We start from the raw sequence: 18,149 nt of genomic DNA, 5'->3' as shown, positions 1-18,149 counted from the left end.
TGAACACTGTGCTGGGAGATCCACTGCTCTCTTTAGAGCTGTCAGTCAGGGACATTTAAGTCTGCTGAAGCTGTGCCCACAGCTGCCCTTTCCCCCGGGTGCTCTGTTCCAGGGAGATGGGGGTTTTATCTGTAAGTCCCTGACTGGGGCTGCTGCCTTTTTTTCAGAGATGCCCTGCCCAGAGAGAAGGAATTAGAGAGGCAGTCTGGCTGCAACGGACTTGCTGAGCCACAGTGGGCTCCACCCAGTTCAAACTTTACGGTGACTTTTTTTACACTGTGAGGGTAAAACTGCCTACTCAAGCTTCAGCAATGGCGGACGCCCTTCCCACCACCAAGCTTGAGCGTCCCAGGTCAACCTCAGACTGATGTGTTAGCAGCAAGAATTTCAAGCCAGTGGACCTTAGCTTGCTGGGTTCCACGGGGGTGGGACCTGCTGAGCCAGACTACTTGGCTCCTTGTCTTTAGCCCCATTTCCGGGGGAGTTAATGGTTCTGTCTCACTGGTGTTCCAGGTGCCACTGGAGTATGAAAAACAAAACAAACAAACAAAAAACTGCAACTAGCTTGGTATCTGCCCAAATGGCTGCCCAGTTTTGTGCTTAAAACCCAGGGCCCCTGGTGGCTTAGGAACCAGAGGGAATCTCCTGGTCTGCCAGTTGTGAAGATCATGGGAAAAGCACAGTATCTGGGCCAGAGTGCACCATTCCTCCCAGTATAGCCTCTTATGGCTTCCCTTGGCTGGGGGAGGGAGATCCCCCACCCCTTGTGCTTCCTGGGTGAGGCGATGCCACACCCTGCTCTGGCTCACCCTCTGTGGGCTGCACTCACTGTCCAACCAGTCCCAATGAGATGAACCAGGTACCTCAGTTGGAATTGCAGTTGGAAATGCAAAAACCACCCGTCTTCTGCTTTGATCTCACTGGGAGCTGCAGACTGGAGCTGTGCCTATTCGGTCATCTTGCCAGCAAATCCTTTTGACTTATATTTTAAGTTCAGGGGTACAAGTGCAGGTTTGTTACATGGATAAACTTGTGTCATGGAGGTTTGTTGCACAGATTATTTCATCACCCAGGTATTAAGCCTAGTACCCATTAGTTATTTTTCCTGATCCTCTCCCTCCTCCCACCCTCCACCCTCTAAAGGTACCCAGTGTGTGTTGTTCCCCTCTGTGTGTCCATATGTTCTCATCATTTAGCTCCTACTTATAAGTGAAACTGTGGTATTTGGTTTTCTGTTCCTGTTAACTGGAAGGGATGCGCCTGTCTTGTTTTCTAGTCAATTCCTAGAGTCTTGAATGGTGCCAAGCACGTAGGGGATACTCCATAAATATTTATGAAATGAATTCCATAGTCTTGATTCCCCTTTGAAATCCATATGTTAGGGTAATTATTGAAGTAATCTCAGTCATTTTGGGAAGATATATGCATGCTTGTATATATATATTTATATATAAAAAGTCTGTATTTAATTTTTTTAACCTGCAACAAATCATACTAGGTGCTCTTTGGAGTGTTTTTTTCCTTTATTTGTCCTAAATGTGCCTTCTTTCTGGCTTCAAAGGTTGCTCTTTGCCCTGAGGTCTTAGGGAGCAAGCTTGCACTTTCCCTCTCTACATCTTTCATGACTTAAAAGGTTGCCCCTGTATCCCATTTTAGCCTTCCTAGACTTAAGAATTTTATCTTGCAAATTTCAATTTGTGAATACAAAATAAGTTCATCTCTGAGTTTCACCTGTCAGGTTTTAATTTAAATCTTATAATTTTACATTTATATTTTTAAAAGAAATGACTTTCTCATGTTAGGTCAGAGAACTGAAAAAGATAAGCTATTTGTTATTTTCTTTTGGTGAAGACTTGGCATAGAGTTTAGTTCCTGTCCCCAGAGACTTATTTACTTACCATCTATCCAGAAGATGAAGTAAGATGAATGGAAAGATCATGAAAACATGATGAGAAAAGAAAACTTGCATTTTTTTGTGGCAAAACTGCTTTGAGCAGTGGTCCTTTGTAGCATGTTGGGTGTGTTTGAACAAGAGGGGGTTGCTGGTAGAACAAAATCTTCAGGTGCAGGGATTATTCAGCTCATGGTTTTCAAAGTGACCAAAAAAAGGTAAACACATGCTAATGGTTACTCACATAATACTTTCTTTAAAGAGTTAGCTTTTGTACCTGAGTTAATTTGGGAGGATATGAACCCCTTCTTGAAAAATAGCCCAGTTATTTCCTCTTTTCTATACTTTGTTGTCTGTTATGCCATGTTGTAACTGGCAAAGTGTAAAACTAGACATATTTTCTTCAATATAACTTCCTACTTGAAACCCAGGGCCCTGGTGGCATAGGCACCAGGGGCAGTCTCTTGGTCTGCCAGTTGCAAAGACCGTGAGTTTCCTATAACCTCCTCTCCTACCCGTCTCTGCTCCCCCACACCCATTAATTAAACAAATACAGTTGTCCCTCAGTATCCATGGGGAATTGGTTCCAGGACTCCCTGCAGATACCAAAATCCATGGATGCTCACGTCCCTTATATAAAATGGTACATATTTGCATATAACCTAGATACATCCTCCCATCTAATTTAAATAATCTCTAGATTACTTATAATACCTGATACAATGTAAATGCTATGTATATAGTATACAGAAGGTCCCTGATTTATGATGGTTTGGCTTATGGTTTCTTGATTTTATGATGATGTAAAAGTGATACACATTCAGTATATTTCTTGACTTGGATGGGGCTATGACCCGGATAAACCCAGGGTAAATAAAAAATATCTTAAGTGGAAAACACACTTCTGCTTACAATATTTTCAATTTATGATGTGTTTATCAGCATGTAACCAATTCCATCATAAATTGAGAATCACTTGTACTCTTTTAATTTGTATTTTTTTGCATTGTTAATTTAAACTTTTTTGACTATTTTTGATCTGAGGTCAGTTGAATCTGCATGAGGAACCCATGGATATGAAGGGCGTTTATTTGTACAAAAGAAAGTTGCTATCCTCCTGGAACATATGTATGTATACAGAGTTTATTGTTGCTGGGACAGAGAAAGGAAGTCAGCATATTGTGGCCAAAACCTTTTGTTGGCGATGTTAAACCCTCAACTTGCTGACTCATCTTTTTAAAATTTGTTAAGAACTTTCATGGTGCAGATTTTCTTTTCTCAAGGGACTTGATGACATTCTCTCTGTACCTGTTGGATCACATTCGCGAAGCATTCATGACCAATCTTTTTGACGCTTGATGCTTTCTGAACATACTGCAGTGCAATTGCTATTGATTGGCCTTGGGGATTGCTGAAGAACAGAGGACTTGGGCTTTTAACTGGAATTCACATTTATTTGGTATACGTTTAGATGCCTCACTGAGAATTGATTAAAAGGAAATGGCTTCCCAATAGTCATGGTCATTGAAGACCAGTGTGGAGGCTAAGCAACTTCATCTTGAATGTGAATCTGCTATGTTGAGTTCTGATTAACTCCAGTTCCTCCAGGAATGCCTCTAAGGTTTTTATTTTCTCTGTGATTCCTTATGTAAAGGCATGTACTTAACCATAAATCCCACCCTTAGGTCAAAACAACTCTGATGTTATCATACTTACTGTAAACCCTACCCTTAAGCAATTGTCTTACACATCCCTTCTTAAGTCTGTAGACCCTTTCCCTATGGTGGATAAGCCCTGGGTCCAGGGTGTGGGGGGCATGGGGGGGTAACAGTGCAGGCATTCATCATCTGTCTAGTGGCTGCCTGAGACATGGCCTCTGTTTGTAATTCCCTATGAAATGTTTCTTTCTGAGAAATTGGAATTCTCAGCCTCTTTCTTTGGCCTCTCAGCTTCCTTGGTTTGCAGGGGTGGTTTGCATAGAGCTGCTCGCTGCAGAACAACTAGCAAGTGAGAGTAATAACTTAGCTCTAAAAGCACACGGAGTGCATTTAGGAAGCTTCGCACCTCCGATGCATGCCGAGTCCTTGCTGTCTAGTTCCCTGGCTTGGATCCATGTGCCCACTATCCAGTGTTACTCCCTCATTCCAAATAAGGATCAGAATATATTCTGGAGATAACTGAACTCGAACCACATTTTATCAAGATGGGTGTAAACTAACCAAAGTCAATGTCTACTAAGCCACTTTAAGAAAAACTCCTCTTTTAACGGGGAGCTATTTGTGGTAGGAGGTTAACCATGGACGTACCCAAATCAGACCTTTTAGGAGTGACTATATCTCCACAACTTGTGGAAAGACGATATTCTCAGTAGGCTTATATTTCAGTGCTTGGAACTTAACTTTTGCTGAAGGTTGAAAATTGCTCTTAAGAGAGACAAGTGGTACAAAACACGAAGAATCGCTTTTAGGATAATTAAAACTACTTTGAATTTTTTATTTATCAATCTGGTTTCTAATATAATTTTAGTTAAATGAAAGACATTCACAAAGAATATTAGGCATACGTACATAATTTCCTTCTTTCATTCTAGTTTACATGCTGTTGCTTTTAGAGAGTGAAATTTTGTGTTATTTCACAGGGGATGGAATCCTGTTTGACTTTACAGAAAGAATATTTAGCCCAGCTTTTCACAGCACTAACCTCTGCAGTCACCACGCTCACTGAAAAAATTTAAAAAACCTGACAAAATAAAACTTAGTAAAATCTAGAACTGTTTCTTGGCCTACTTGAGAGGAACTTCCATATTTTCACAGCCATCTCCGAAAGCAGCAGTTGCTGTAAATTAACTGAGACTTGGAAATGGTGCAGACTGTCTTGGTAGAGCTGTTCTTATAGCACAATTTTATCTGGAAAATAAACTTGTAAATGCGTGCTGTATATTAATACATGTGTGCCCATATTTATTTTTATTATCTCCTGCCAGTCTTTGCTCAATGGGAGATGACAGACCAACTTCTCAACGTGATTTCCCCATTTCATTGAATGACATTTATATGCCACTTATGAAAAAAAATACTGCTGTGAAAGAAATGTACTTTAAAGTTTGCAGCACTACCATGCAGGGTACATGGAGAATAGGCATATAGCCACTAGGCTACATGAACACGTCACGTTTGTATTTTGTGTTGGCCTATGTATAAGCCAATCTAGCATGTTTGAGGGCATGTGTGAGAGTAGGTAAGGGAGCTGTAAGTTACATTCAGGTGGGAATTTAGGGCTTTCTGCACAAAAAATTCTAATTTCTCTGTCCTTTTGCTATGTTGCATCTCCCAGTGTTGACAGGTTAGTCTGCATGATTAATAACTGAGCAGCTGTAGAGCCATGCCAGTAAGTCTCCAATTCCTGAACGTGGCCACATTTGTCTTTTGATGTGACTTTCAACCACAAGCCACAAAGTAAGTCTTTCACTAGGCTCCGTTGACTTCAGTCTTTATATAAGGGTTTCAAGGTATTTTGCAGTCAAGAATCAATGGCACCTCGCAACTGTCTTATGAAGTAGGTAAAACAGCTCCATCTTAAATACGGGACAAAAGTTCGAGGACTTGACCAAGGTCACACAGGGAGGGTCCCACCAAGGCAGGGAGAGAGAAAGGGGATGCTGTCAGCTAATTCTCATGGTCCACTCTTAACCAAAACATCATTTAAAAAATGGGGCTGGCTCGGCACGGTGGCTCACACCTGTAATCCCAGCAATTTGCAAGGCCGAGGTGGACGGATCACTTGAGGTCAGGAGTTCGAGACCACCCTGGCCAACATGGTGAAACCTGGCTTCTACTAATAATACAAAAAAAAAAAAAAATTAGCTGGGTGTGATGGCGGGTGCCTGTAATCCCAGCTACTTGGGAGGCTGAGGCAGGAGAATCGCCTCAATGTGGGAGGAGGAGGAGGTTGCAGTGAGCCCGAGATTGCGCCAGTGCACTCCAGCCTGGGGGACAGAGCAAGACTCCGTCTCAAAACAAAACAAAAAACAACAAAAAAAAGCGGGGCGGGGGTAGGAGCCATTGGTTCTTAGCTGAAGTCAGCTGGGGACATTGTTACTGTTTGTTTCGCACTGGTTTAGGATCAGGTGGTTCTACTGGGACTAGCAATTTAGGACCTATCTTTGGCTGGCTTACTTGAATTCAATTTAATAATTGCTGCCCTTTTTTTGGGAAAATTGCTCAACAGGGTGGTGAAAAGAAAAAATGGGGGGTTTCAAATTCAGTGTTGTTTGGAGGCATGAGACATAAACGGGCCATTAAAACGTTTACTGCGTAAGAGCAGGGTATAATGTGGTGAGGAGAGGAAGAGAGAAAAAAGTAGGATAGAAAAGAACAGATTCCATCATAGAAGGAAAGAAAAGCTTCTTGACACAACCTGAACACTTGCATGTTCAAGTCCCACAGCTGTGTGCTTGTTCCTGAAGTGCTTCCAATGGCTTCGCCTGTGCCCAGCTCTCAGCCTGCATATGGTGGCCGCTCAGCAGATTTTCAAAAGTAACATTAAGACAGACTCTTTGGCTCATGCCAATGCTTTTTCTTGTGCCTCTGAATTCCTGCTCTTGTTAGTAAAGGATGCTTGTTTGTCAAATGCAGGGCAGTAGGACATTTTCTAGGAATGGCTCTCTAAATTCTTGTTTTCAGCTCTTTAATGAAAACTTTCATGTAACAAGTCTCTTTTTTTGAGCAGGTGGTTGAAAGCCACAAGGGGAAATACATTTTTAAATATTAAGAAGGGCCAGAAAATAATTTAACAACAAAATAGCTTTTTCAACCTCCTGGACCAGCTTTCTTGAGCTCTAGGGAATATGCTATTTTGAGAGCTTAGGATCTCACTAACCTTGCATTCATTCAAAGTCATCTCCTAGCTTTTTTCAAAACATCGACATTTGCTTCATACACAGAAGATGTTTCCTGCACAACTTTAAATCAGCCACCAACTTTCCCTGAAACTTTAAAACAGTCTATTTTTTGTCGTTGTTGTTGTCTATACATATTATTTAAAGAGGCTACTACCAGCATACTTGTGCTTGCTTGATAATGTATTGGAATGTAAGATGTCAAGATTTTGTGAGATGTGAATGACAAAGCAGGATTAGGCACTGAGAGCTTGGGCGGGAATGTCATGGTTATGGAGGCTGCACTGTGCTAGGCTATCCAAGGAGAGAGTTGGAAGAAAGACTTAATTCTTTTTCTTCACATAAACAGATTATTTACCATTTAAAATGTACTGAATATGGCCTTCATAAACAGATGTAGGGATTTTTGTTACACCCATAATCCCAAGGAGAGGTCAAGATTTCCAGCATTTATTTGGCACTTAGTTACTTAATACTTTATCCACCGTTTGGTTTCCTGTCTGATGGCCACATTGTAACCCTCTTGAAGGAAGACAGTGTCCTATATGTCTTAATTGATGGTGATATGGGAGAACCACTGATCCCTGCAGTCATTCCAGTGTCCTAGGTTTGAAATTTTGGTGAGAGGATTGGATCTCATTTTTCACCTTTTGTGGCAGGAAAAGGAGAGGGAGGAGAAAGGATGAGAACATTTTAGTAGCAGAAGCTGTTTTGGGTGGCTTTAATTCTCTACTCATTTTGGGAAAAAAGGGAAAGTGTTGAGACAATGCATAAAGAACAGAGCTATCATGGGAATTGCAAGAAATAATAAATTTCCATCTGGCATTATTTGGTAAGTGCAGAAGTAATACCTGTAAACCAGGTTTAAAAATCAGAAACACTTCTAAAACATCATGTTTAAAATTTGCTTTCAACAATACATAAAGTAACTCCTAATGGTAATCATCTTGGCTAAATAAAACAGCCTTTGCTTTCAATATGTCATTTGTAAATGTTACATTGTTCTGATATTTAGTGATATTAAGTATTTTTCCATTTTAAATGTATTTTATAGAAGAATGATTAAAACCTTTTAAAATTAAGGGTGTCCATGACAGTGCCTGAGCTCAACCAGCAATGGTAAAAGGGCATCAGGATTCCCTTTTGTTCTGTTACCTTGACTTGTATGGGAATTAACTGGTCCAATGTCTCCTTTGGAATGTGCTCTGTACTGGTGTAATGTGCCACTGGCAACTCTAGGTAATGTTTTCCATTACCCAAGAAACTGATGTGCTCCAATAAGTTAGGCACACTGAGAATCTTGAAAAAGAATGCATAATTCTAACAAACTAGAATTTCCATTTTATTCAGCCGGGCCATCAGAACAATAGCATCTATACCTTCGAAACCTCCTCTTAACCTCTCCCAGGCAAAGAAGGAAAAAGTGATCATATTGAATTCCTCAGAATGGTGGGATCTCAAGACTTTTTAGAAAGTGCTTATTAAGTATAAGAGGCTTGAAATATAATGATGATAAATGGTAGCCTTTCTGGAAATAATTTTTGTGTAATCTGTTTAAAAAGATTTTTTGGATGCATTGTCCCCATTTGTTTACAGGAAGTGTATTACTTTTAAATATAATCAATGAGGTATTTATTTGTTAAATAACTGGGTCAAGATTTCAGATTAAACTAAGAGGTGTGATTAACTACACTTCTCCATCCTCTGGGAAGCAACAGGTACCAGGTTTGTGATGAACCTGAGGTTCAAATGTGTCCGTCTTAGAAGAAAGATCCCTGAATCACAGCAGTGTGATTGGATGGAAAAACACGTGGAGTAGTTGATTTAAAATATGGCAGTGTTTTCCATATCATCCAGAGTAACAGCAATAATAACTTGACTTTATTGTGTTGTGTCCATTTACAGGACACTGTCTATTAGGATTGTGTCACAGGGGTGGAAAAACTACCAGAGATTTAAAGCAAAATAAGAAACGCAACCTAATTTATGCATTCACTAGAAATTATCCATATTTTTGCTATAACTAAACTATAAAAGAAAAAGAGCAAACAAATCATAACATCTGGCTCTAATTCCCCATTGAGGCGCTTATACATATATAAATCCAGTATGTTTCAGATAAAACAGGAAAAAATCTTTTGTAACAGCTGGTCACCATGGTATTGCAGCTGATAGTTACAGCTATTGGTCTAAGACTACATACGTGGAACAATATTAGCTTGTAGAATTCAATGAAAAATCAAACTACCTTCCCTGGTTCTTTAATGCCTCTCTCCAGTTGTGCTGATTGTGTCGTTACACACCAGGTGCCATGCACTCTCTTCCTTCAACTGCTGGTATCAGTCAGGAACCCCAGATGCCAGAGAGCTGGCATAGATTGAGCTCTGCTTAAAAACTGGCAAATAATAGGTTCTCTTTGCCCCTTTCTTTTCCGACTTATAGGACATCAAAGGAAATAGTATATAAACACGAACTAGTTTCTGTAACAGCCCATTAAGGTTGACTAGAAGCAAAAGGAAGAGAATGTTGGGGGCCATCTGTAGGTGCATTAGCTTTTCTCAAGAAAAAAAATACCCACGTTCTAAGGGCTCTTAAAAACGTAGAAAACTTGCCCTGTTACCACGGGTCTTTAGAACACCTCTAAACACACACAAAATAAGACAGATAGTACCTACAAATTTCAACCATTGCTTAAACTCTAAAAGCATTTTTTGTATTATTTTGTTTTGATACAGAAGGGAAAACTCAGCTATAAAGAAATATTAAAAAGGTTTTTTTTTTTGTGATCAGTCTCAAGAATATTCCATTATATTCCATTGCCTGCCTCCCCCAACTTGTGCTGATATTTTAAGGATGTGCTCAAGAGTATGAAGCAGGGTGCTTTTGTCCCTTTCTCTCCTCCCTAGTAATTCCCTCCTCCCTATCCCATAGCCAAGTAGCCACCCCTCAAATGAGCCATTCCTTTTTGCTTTCATCAATGGTCTCTGTGAAGTTGGGGTCGTTGTTCATGATGGCGGCGTCCGCGCTCTCTGCCGACTCCGCCCCCTTTGCTTCGTTGGTATGGTAGGTGCCCTTGTGGCGGAACATGTACCGGATCAGGAAGACCAGGGTGCACAGGATGGTGAAAATCACCACAGCAATGACGCCTGACGGAGAAAGGAGAAGCACGAGAGGTTAGACAGGGCTTGGGAGTCCCTCCAACACTGTCCCCACTTCACTACAGCTCCGTCAGACACAGCCCTCTCCCATATAAAACACAACCTCCAAAACAACAAAGATAACAAAAATGAAGTAAGATGTCTGTTTTTGTCCATGAAGGAGTAACAGGAAAAACAGGAGTAACTTGTCTTCCAGCCAAAAGTAACTAAAATACTGGACACAGTCTATGAAATGACAGTCTACAGACATTAGAAAACAGGCAGAAAGGAACCATGATGTCTGAGAACAGAGAAACAAAAAGGAGGAATCCTACATTTTTCCTAGTTTTCTGGCTGGCAGCGATTTTTGGACAGCAGTGTAGGGAGGGGCAGCACAAGAAAGCACAGTGGTTTCCCTGAATGGAGAGGGGAGATAGAGTGGGCGCGCGAGAGAGCTATGTATAGAAAGAACCCTAATAATCTGCACATAAGTCTCTCTGAATTTGTGGCCGAATAATACTAACATGTGCATGTACAGAATAAAAGTCCACAGGCCAGGCAAAAAACCAGAGCTCACGGAGGGCTGGGAGATGTTTATAGTCCAACAACCACACTGAAGAGACCTCATTGAACAATCAGAGCATTTAATACAGTTGATAGAATGGTCATGCTGAAGGTGTTTGCTAAAATAGGCCTAGAATAAAGACTACTCTAGCTCTGTCCTGAAAAAGCTTTAAAACACATCTAAATAACGTCAAGCTGCAGAGAAAAATAATTCAGAGAAAAAAAATGTAGCAAAATGTCACTTGACCAGAAGAAACATCAGTCAATTAGAAGGAGAGCCAGAAAGGACAGAGCATGGAATGAGCAGATGAGGACAGTACAATAGCTATTAGAAACAGAAAGGACAGAGCATGGAATGAGCAGATGAGGACAGTACAATAGCTATTAGAAACCTGCACAGGGGTTTAAAGGAAAACATGATCAAAATGAGGGGAAAAAAAATGAGACAACGTGGAACTTGTAGAGGTGAAACACACAATGTCTGAAATGAGCAGTGGCTCGCGCCTGTAATCCCAGCACTTTGGGAGGCTGAGGCGGGCGGATTACTTGAGGTCAGGAGTTTAAGACCAGCCTGGGCAACATGGTGAAACCCGGTCTTTTATACTAAAAGTACAAAAATCAGCCAGGCATGGTGGCACGCTCCTGTGATCCCAGCTAGCCAAGATGCTGAGGCGTGAGAATCGCTTGAACCTGGGAGGCGGAGGCTGCAGTGAGCCAAGATCGTGCCACTGCACTCCAGCTTGTGTGAGGGGGGGGGGGGGGACTCTGTCTAAAAAAAAAAAATGGAAAAAGAAAAAAATACTGGATGAAATAATACAGATTAGATAAAACAGAAGTAAATATAACTGATCTAAACACTCCAATTAAAAAGTAGAGACAGTGGATAAAAAAGATGCCTACTATATGATATCTACAAGACATGAACTTTAAATACAGGTCAACAGTAAAAGGGTGGGAAAAGATATGCAAACAATAATCATAAGCTGGAATAGCTACGTTAATATGAGACAAAGGACAAGGTTGTTAGTAGAAATGAAGAACATTTCATAATGACAAAAGGGTGAATTCATCAGGAAGACATAATGTTCCTAATGTGTATAAATCTAACCTAAGTACAAAATAAATGAAGCAAAAACGGGCAGAACTGGTAGGACAATTAGACCAATTTGCAATTATAGTTGGAGATTTTTTAACACTGTTCTGTCAGTAACTGATAGAACAATTGAACAGAAAATCAGCAAAAATTTAAAAGACTCGAACAATACTACTAACAAGCATTACCTAATGATATTAGACCAATCCTACACATCTTTCTTAAAATATAGGAGGAGAAAACACTACTCAATTCATTTTATGAGACCAGCATTATCCTGACACTAAAACCAGAAAAATGTTACAAGAAAACTATGGAGCAATATATATATATATATATATATATATATATATATATATATATATATTTTTTTTTTGAGACGGAGTTTCACTCTTGTTGCCCAGGCTGGAGTGCAATGGCACGATCTGGGCTTACTGTAACCTCAGCCTCCCAGGTTCAAGCAATTCTCCTGTCTCAGCCTCCCGAGTAGCTGGGCTTACAGGCGCCCACCAGTACGCCCAGCTGATTTTTATATTTTTAGTAGAGACGGGGTTTCACTGTGTTGGCTAGGCTGGTCCTGAACTCCTGACCTCAGGTAATCCACCTGCCTCGGCCTCCCAAAGTGCTGGGATTATAGGCGTGAGCTGCTACGCCTGGCCACAATATTCTTTTAAATAGAATTTTAGCAAATCAAACCCAGCAATATGTAAAAAAGATCATGTATTATGATAATGTTAATCCTAGGAATGCAAGTTTGGTTTAACATTAAAAAATAAAGCAATGTGATTTACCACATTAAGCAAATAAGGAGTAAAACAATATGATCATCTAAATAGATGTGGAAAAAGCATTTGGAAAACTTCCAATACCCATTCATCAAACAGCTTTCAGTAAACTATGAGTAGAAGAAACTTTCTCAATCTGATAAAGGACATCTGTTGGAAACCTACGGCCAATATCCTATTTCATAGTGAAAGATCAAACACATTCCCCTAACATAGGGAACAATGCAAAATTGTCAAATCTCAATATTTATTCACTTTTGTACTGAAAATCCTACCCGGTGCAATGAAACAACAAAAGGATATAGACTGGAAAGAAACAAGTAAAAAAATCTCATTATTCTCAGATAAAATGCTTGTCTAGGTAGACAATTCTGAGGAATATACAAAAAAAGTTATTAGAACTAACAGCAAATTTAGCAAGGTCACAGAAGGCAAGGCTGATATAAAAGATCAATTATACTTTTATATGCCAGAGAGAGACACTTAGAAAATGAAATTAATGAAATAGTAAGCTGTTCAAGACTTCGCATTGAAAACCACAATACGTTGCTGAGAGAAACTGATGAGACAAATAAACGTATAGATACACCATGTAAAGATAGAAATACTAAATATCGTTAAGATGTTCTAATGAACCTGTCTTGGCCTCTCAAAGTGCTGGGATTACAGGCGTGCGCCACCGCGCCTGGCCAGGATTAGAGAACTTACATTGTTTATTTCAAGACTTAGTATAAAGATACAACAGGCCGGGAGCGATGGCTCACACCTGTAATCCTACCAGTTTTGCAGGCCGAGGTGGGTGGATCACAAGGTCAGGAGATTGAGACCATCCTGGCCAACATGGTGAAACCCTGTCTCTACTAAAATACAAAAATTAGCTGGACATGGTGGTGCGTGCCTGTAATCCCAGCTACTCGGGAGGTTGAGGCAGGAGAATCGCTTGAGCCAGGGAGTCGGAGGTTGCATGAGCCGAGATCGCGCCACTGTACTCCAGCCTGGCAACAAAGCAAGACTCCCATCTCAACAAAAAAAGATACAACAATAAAGCAAGCATGATATTGGCTAAGGAAAGATATATATAGACCAACAAAACAAAAAGCCCAGAAAATAGACACACACACACACACACACATATGTCAGTTGCTTTAACAAAAGTGCCAAGAAAATTCAATTGAGGAAAAGTATAGTTTTTTTTTTTTCAACAAATGGTCTTGGAATGACTAGATATTCATTTGGAAAATACTGACGTTGACTCTTCTCTCACACCATTTATAAACATTAACTCGAAGTGATTAAAGACCTGATGGCAAATGATAAAGTGATACAACTTCTAGAAGAAAGCTGAAAATCTTCAAAACCTTTGGGTAGGCAGACTTTTTAGATAGGACAAACCAACCACAAACTATAAAAAAGATTGGGGCCGGGCACGGTGGCTCACACCTATAATCCCAGCACTTTGGGAGGCTGAGGCGAGTGGATCACTTGAGGTCAGGAGTTGGAGACCAGCCTGGCCAACATGGTACAATCCTGTCTCTACTAAAAATACAAAAATTAGCCAGGCATGGTGATGCGTGCCTGTAGTTCCAGCTACTCAGGAGGCTGAAGCAGGAGAATCGCTTGAACCCGGGAGGCAGAGATTGCAGTGAACTGAGATCACGCCACTGCACTCCAGCCTGGGCAACAGAAAGTGAGACTCTGTCTCAAAAAATAATAATAAATAAAAGTTACGGACTTGTTACACTTATAGATGCGTATTATACTTCAATTAAGTTCATTTAAAAAAGCAAAAGACAGTGAGGATTGGGATCTTAATGGTAACAGGGATGTCAATATCGATCTACGCATGAGGCTCAGTGGCTATCCGAGGAGAGTCAAATTATTATGTAGCTGTCCATGGTGAGAAGAAAACACTGGAATATTTTAGATGCTACAGCTTGTTAAATCTTCTGATACATTTTTAGTTTTTATTATTTTCATTGTGCAAATTTACGGGGTACATGAGAAAATTTGTTACACGTATATAAGGAATAGTGGTCAAGTCATAGTATTTAGGGGTTCATCAACCAAGTACAGTACATTTTTGTTAGATATAGTCATCCTACCCTGCTAGCAAACCCGGAACTTGTTCCTTTTATCTTTCTTACTGTATGTTTGCACCCTGTAACCCACTTCTCTTCATTCTCCTTCCTCCTCCTGCTCAACTTTCCCAATCTCTGTTACGTGTTTTTCTTTCTACCTCCATGTGTGTAAATCTTTTAGCTCCTGTGTATCAGTGAGAATATGCAATATTTGTCTTTTTGTGCCTAGCTTATTTCACTTAAAATAATGACCTCCAGTGATTTTCTGATAATTTTTATTATGATAACTGAAATCAGACTGGCATTTCCCTTTTCGTATTTTTTTTTTTTTTTTTTTTTTGAGAAAGGTCTCAATCTGTCACCTAGACTGGAGTACAGTGGTGTGATCTCAGCTCACTGCAACCTCTACCTCCCAGGCTCAAGCAATTCTCTTGTCTCAGGCTCCCGAGTAGCTGGGATTACAGGAATGCGCCACCACGCCTGGCTAACTTTTGTATTTTTAGAGATGGGGTTTCACCATGTTGGCCAGGCTGGTCTTGAACTCCTGACCTCAAATGATCCACCTGCCTCGGCCTCCCGAAGTGCTGGGATTACAGGCGTAAGTCACTGCACCCAGCATTCCTTTTCATTTTTTTATAGTACGCTATCCTGGACCATTTTGGATGCGAAAGGATAAGACTGAAAAATATCCGAGGGGGATAAAGAAATGTCCTGGCTATGGTCACTACTACCTACTTAATTATTCTGAGTCTGTCCAGCTTTCCACTGCTATTTGTTTTTTACAAGCCAGCATTAAAAAGTAGCCAGGTTACATTTACTATATTCTTTCTTTCTTTCTTTTTTTTTTTTTTTTTTGAGACGGAGTCCCGCTCTTTAGCCCAGGCCGGATTGCAGTGGCACAATCTTGGCTCACTGCAAGCTCCGCCTCCCAGGTTCACGCCATTCTCCTGCCTCAGCCTCCTGAGTAGCTGGGACTACAGGCGCCCGCCACTGCGCCCGGCTAATTTTTTGTATTTTTAGTAGAGACGGGGTTTCACCGTGTTAGCCAAGATGGTCTCGATCTCCTGACCTTGTGATCCGCCCGCCTCGGCCTCCCAAAGTGCTGGGATTACAGGCGTGAGCCACCGCGCCCAGCTAATTTTTGTATTTTTAGTAGATATGGGGTTTTGCCATGTTGGCTAGGCTGGTCTCGAATTCCTGACCTCAGGTGATCTGCCCACCTCGGCCTCCCAAAGTGCTAGGATAACAGAGGTGAGCCACTGTGCCCGGCTATATTTACTATATTTCTTCACATCATATGTCATAATCTTTAAACAGCAAAATGAATAATGTAAAAACCTAGAAAACTTTTTTTCCTAGACTACTATGTTATTGACAACTATTACTTTCCATAGTTGAGTAGCCCCATATAAGCCTCCTCTAGACATCACCTACCTCCAATGATAGCCGAGTTTCTGTTGACTCCATTTCTTATAGCTTGGCCTTGTCCTGGATTATATGGAAAATCCGCACTGGCTGTAGAGAAAGAAAGAGTCAAGTGTCAGAGTCAAGTATACTATTGATCCCAAATAATTTGATACCTATTTCTTCATGCAACTCTTCAACACTTCCTGTTTTCCCAAATGAAATCTCCATTTCAGATGGACCCGTCTTGCCATTGTCTCCCACAAGAATCACAACAGCCTCCATCCCTGTTCCTGCTGTTTCTCTTTGCACAAGGCCTAGGTAAACACGACTTCCCACTTGGAGCAATATTAGAGAATCCTAGAGCTACCTGAGCTGGCCTGCTCTAGTTCCACAGACAGACGAGTTTATGCATTTGAATATGTTTCTTACATTTGGTTGAAATCTGCTTCCCATCCACTTTTAACCCCATGCACAACTGGTGGCATTCAATGTATTTGTAGATGAGCTTTTTACAGCTACAGTATTAAAAAGTTTAAAAAGGAATCATTCCTTTAAACTTGTATTTTTCATGGCTGTAATAAGACACTGGCACACTTTAGGAATTTGTAAGGGGGTAATAATTCAAAACAGTTAAGAATATTAACTGCCTAGTGAATTTTCTATTTCTTTCCCTATTATAAACGTAAGAATCAGTTGTGTTAAATTTAGGTATTTCTCTAAGATAAAACAAATTTTAAGCCCGGTAAAGGCAAATAGATCCCGAAGTCCATCTGCAAGTCGGCAGACTATCTTCTGTCATCCATAGGACCTAATCCAACTTCAGAAACAATTCACATTTGTTGGTCTTCTGTTGGAGAAGTTAAGGTAAATCTTCCAACAGAAGCAGGTCACCTTAGTCTAAAGCAAGCTCTGGCTACTGGATGGCACCAGTTAAATGTAAAAAGAATTTAGAAGTACTTATTTGGTACAATGAAATGTGTACACACCAGGCAAACAGGTTTATGTTATGATTCAGGGAGAACATTGCTACATACTCCGTTTTCTAACACTAATTTATTCCTGGGCTATGGACTTCCAAGATTATCCGGGATAATGATGAAAAGCAGGTAGAGCCCTTTTTCCTCCTCTTCTCTTGGAAATATGGCAACCAAAAAGGGAGATTCCAGATTCTTTCAACACATGTGATTTAATCCTTTCTCTTTTAGACTTGATATTCTTTTTTTGTGTGTGTGTGGGGCGGGGGCAGTGTGGGGAAAGGGTCTCACTCTGTTGTCCAGGCTGGAGTGAGTGCAGTGGTGTGATCTTGGCTTGCTGCAACTGCTGCCTTGCAGGCTCAGGTGTTTCTCCTGCCTCAGCCTCCCAAGTAGCTGGGATTACAGGCACCTGCCACCATGCCTGGCTAATTTTTGTATTTTTAGTAGAGACAGGGTTTCACCATGTTAGCCAGCCTGGTCTCAAACTCCTGATCTCAAGTTATCCACTCACCCTGGCCTCCCAAAATGCTGCAATTACAGGCATGAGCCACTGCACCTGGCCAGACTTGATATTCTTGTTTAGGACCAGGAAAATTATACTTTTTAGATAGATACGTATATATATTCCAAATTATCTCAACTATCAGTTGACTGAGTAAAAGCACAGACACTAAGCAAGCTACAAATGAAAGTGAACTTAACTCTTGGGTATTCAAGGATTTCATATTCCCCAAGTCTTTAACTGGGGGATGCAAAAGAGACCACTGATGGTTTTTGCTTGTTTTAACTGGCTCAATCCTTTTTTTTTTTTTTTTTTTTTTAAGATTTGGTCTTGCTGTGTTGACCAGGCTGGAGTGCAGTGGCACAATCATGGCTCACTGCAGCCTGGACCTCCCAGGCTCAAGTGTTCCTCCTGCCTCAGACTCCTGAGTAGCTGGGACCACAGCCATGCACTATCACACCTGGCAAATTTTTTTATTTTTTGTAGAGATGGGGTTTCCCTATGTTGCCCAAGCTGGTCTTGAATTCCTGGGCTCAAACGATCCTCCCACCTTGGCCTTTCAAAGTGCTGGGATTACAGGTGTGAGCCACCATGCCCGGCCAATTGGTCCAATCCTAAATCCAGTTAGCTAGGCAGGGAAATGGGGAGAGCCAACATGTAGTACAGTGTAGTCAGCTACTTTCTCATCAGCTCACTTTCCCATTTCCCTTCAGGATTTTCTGGGGTAGGTAGTGTGGATTAATATTCCCAATCCCAAATGTCAGCCCAAGAATGCAAAGATCTTTCATTTATTAGGCTTATCATCAGATATAAGATTAGTC

At 40.8% G+C, this 18,149-nt stretch overlaps 1 protein-coding gene and 1 long non-coding RNA gene across 2 annotated transcripts in view; one reads left to right on the top strand and one right to left on the bottom strand.

The window, feature by feature from the left end:
* The window catches only part of LOC105375554 (uncharacterized), a 55,130-nt gene that overhangs the window by 11,417 nt on the left and 25,564 nt on the right, over nt 1-18,149 (top strand). The window lies entirely within an intron of this gene.
* CNTNAP2 (contactin associated protein 2) overlaps nt 4,353-18,149 on the bottom strand; it is a 2,304,198-nt gene continuing 2,290,401 nt past the window's right edge. Inside the window, exons 23-24 of the mRNA NM_014141.6 lie at nt 15,880-15,960; nt 4,353-9,934 (exon numbers count right to left, since the gene is read on the bottom strand). Coding sequence (NP_054860.1) covers nt 9,735-9,934; nt 15,880-15,960 — 281 coding nt within the window. The 3' untranslated portion in view covers nt 4,353-9,734. The remainder of the gene's footprint in view (nt 9,935-15,879; nt 15,961-18,149) is intronic.

This window comes from Homo sapiens, chromosome 7 (assembly GCF_000001405.40).
Source record: "Homo sapiens chromosome 7, GRCh38.p14 Primary Assembly".
In the NCBI taxonomy this organism is placed as follows: Eukaryota; Metazoa; Chordata; class Mammalia; order Primates; family Hominidae; genus Homo; species Homo sapiens.
The sequence above is the reverse complement of the archived record's forward strand: the minus strand, read 5'-3'. Positions and strand labels throughout refer to the sequence as shown.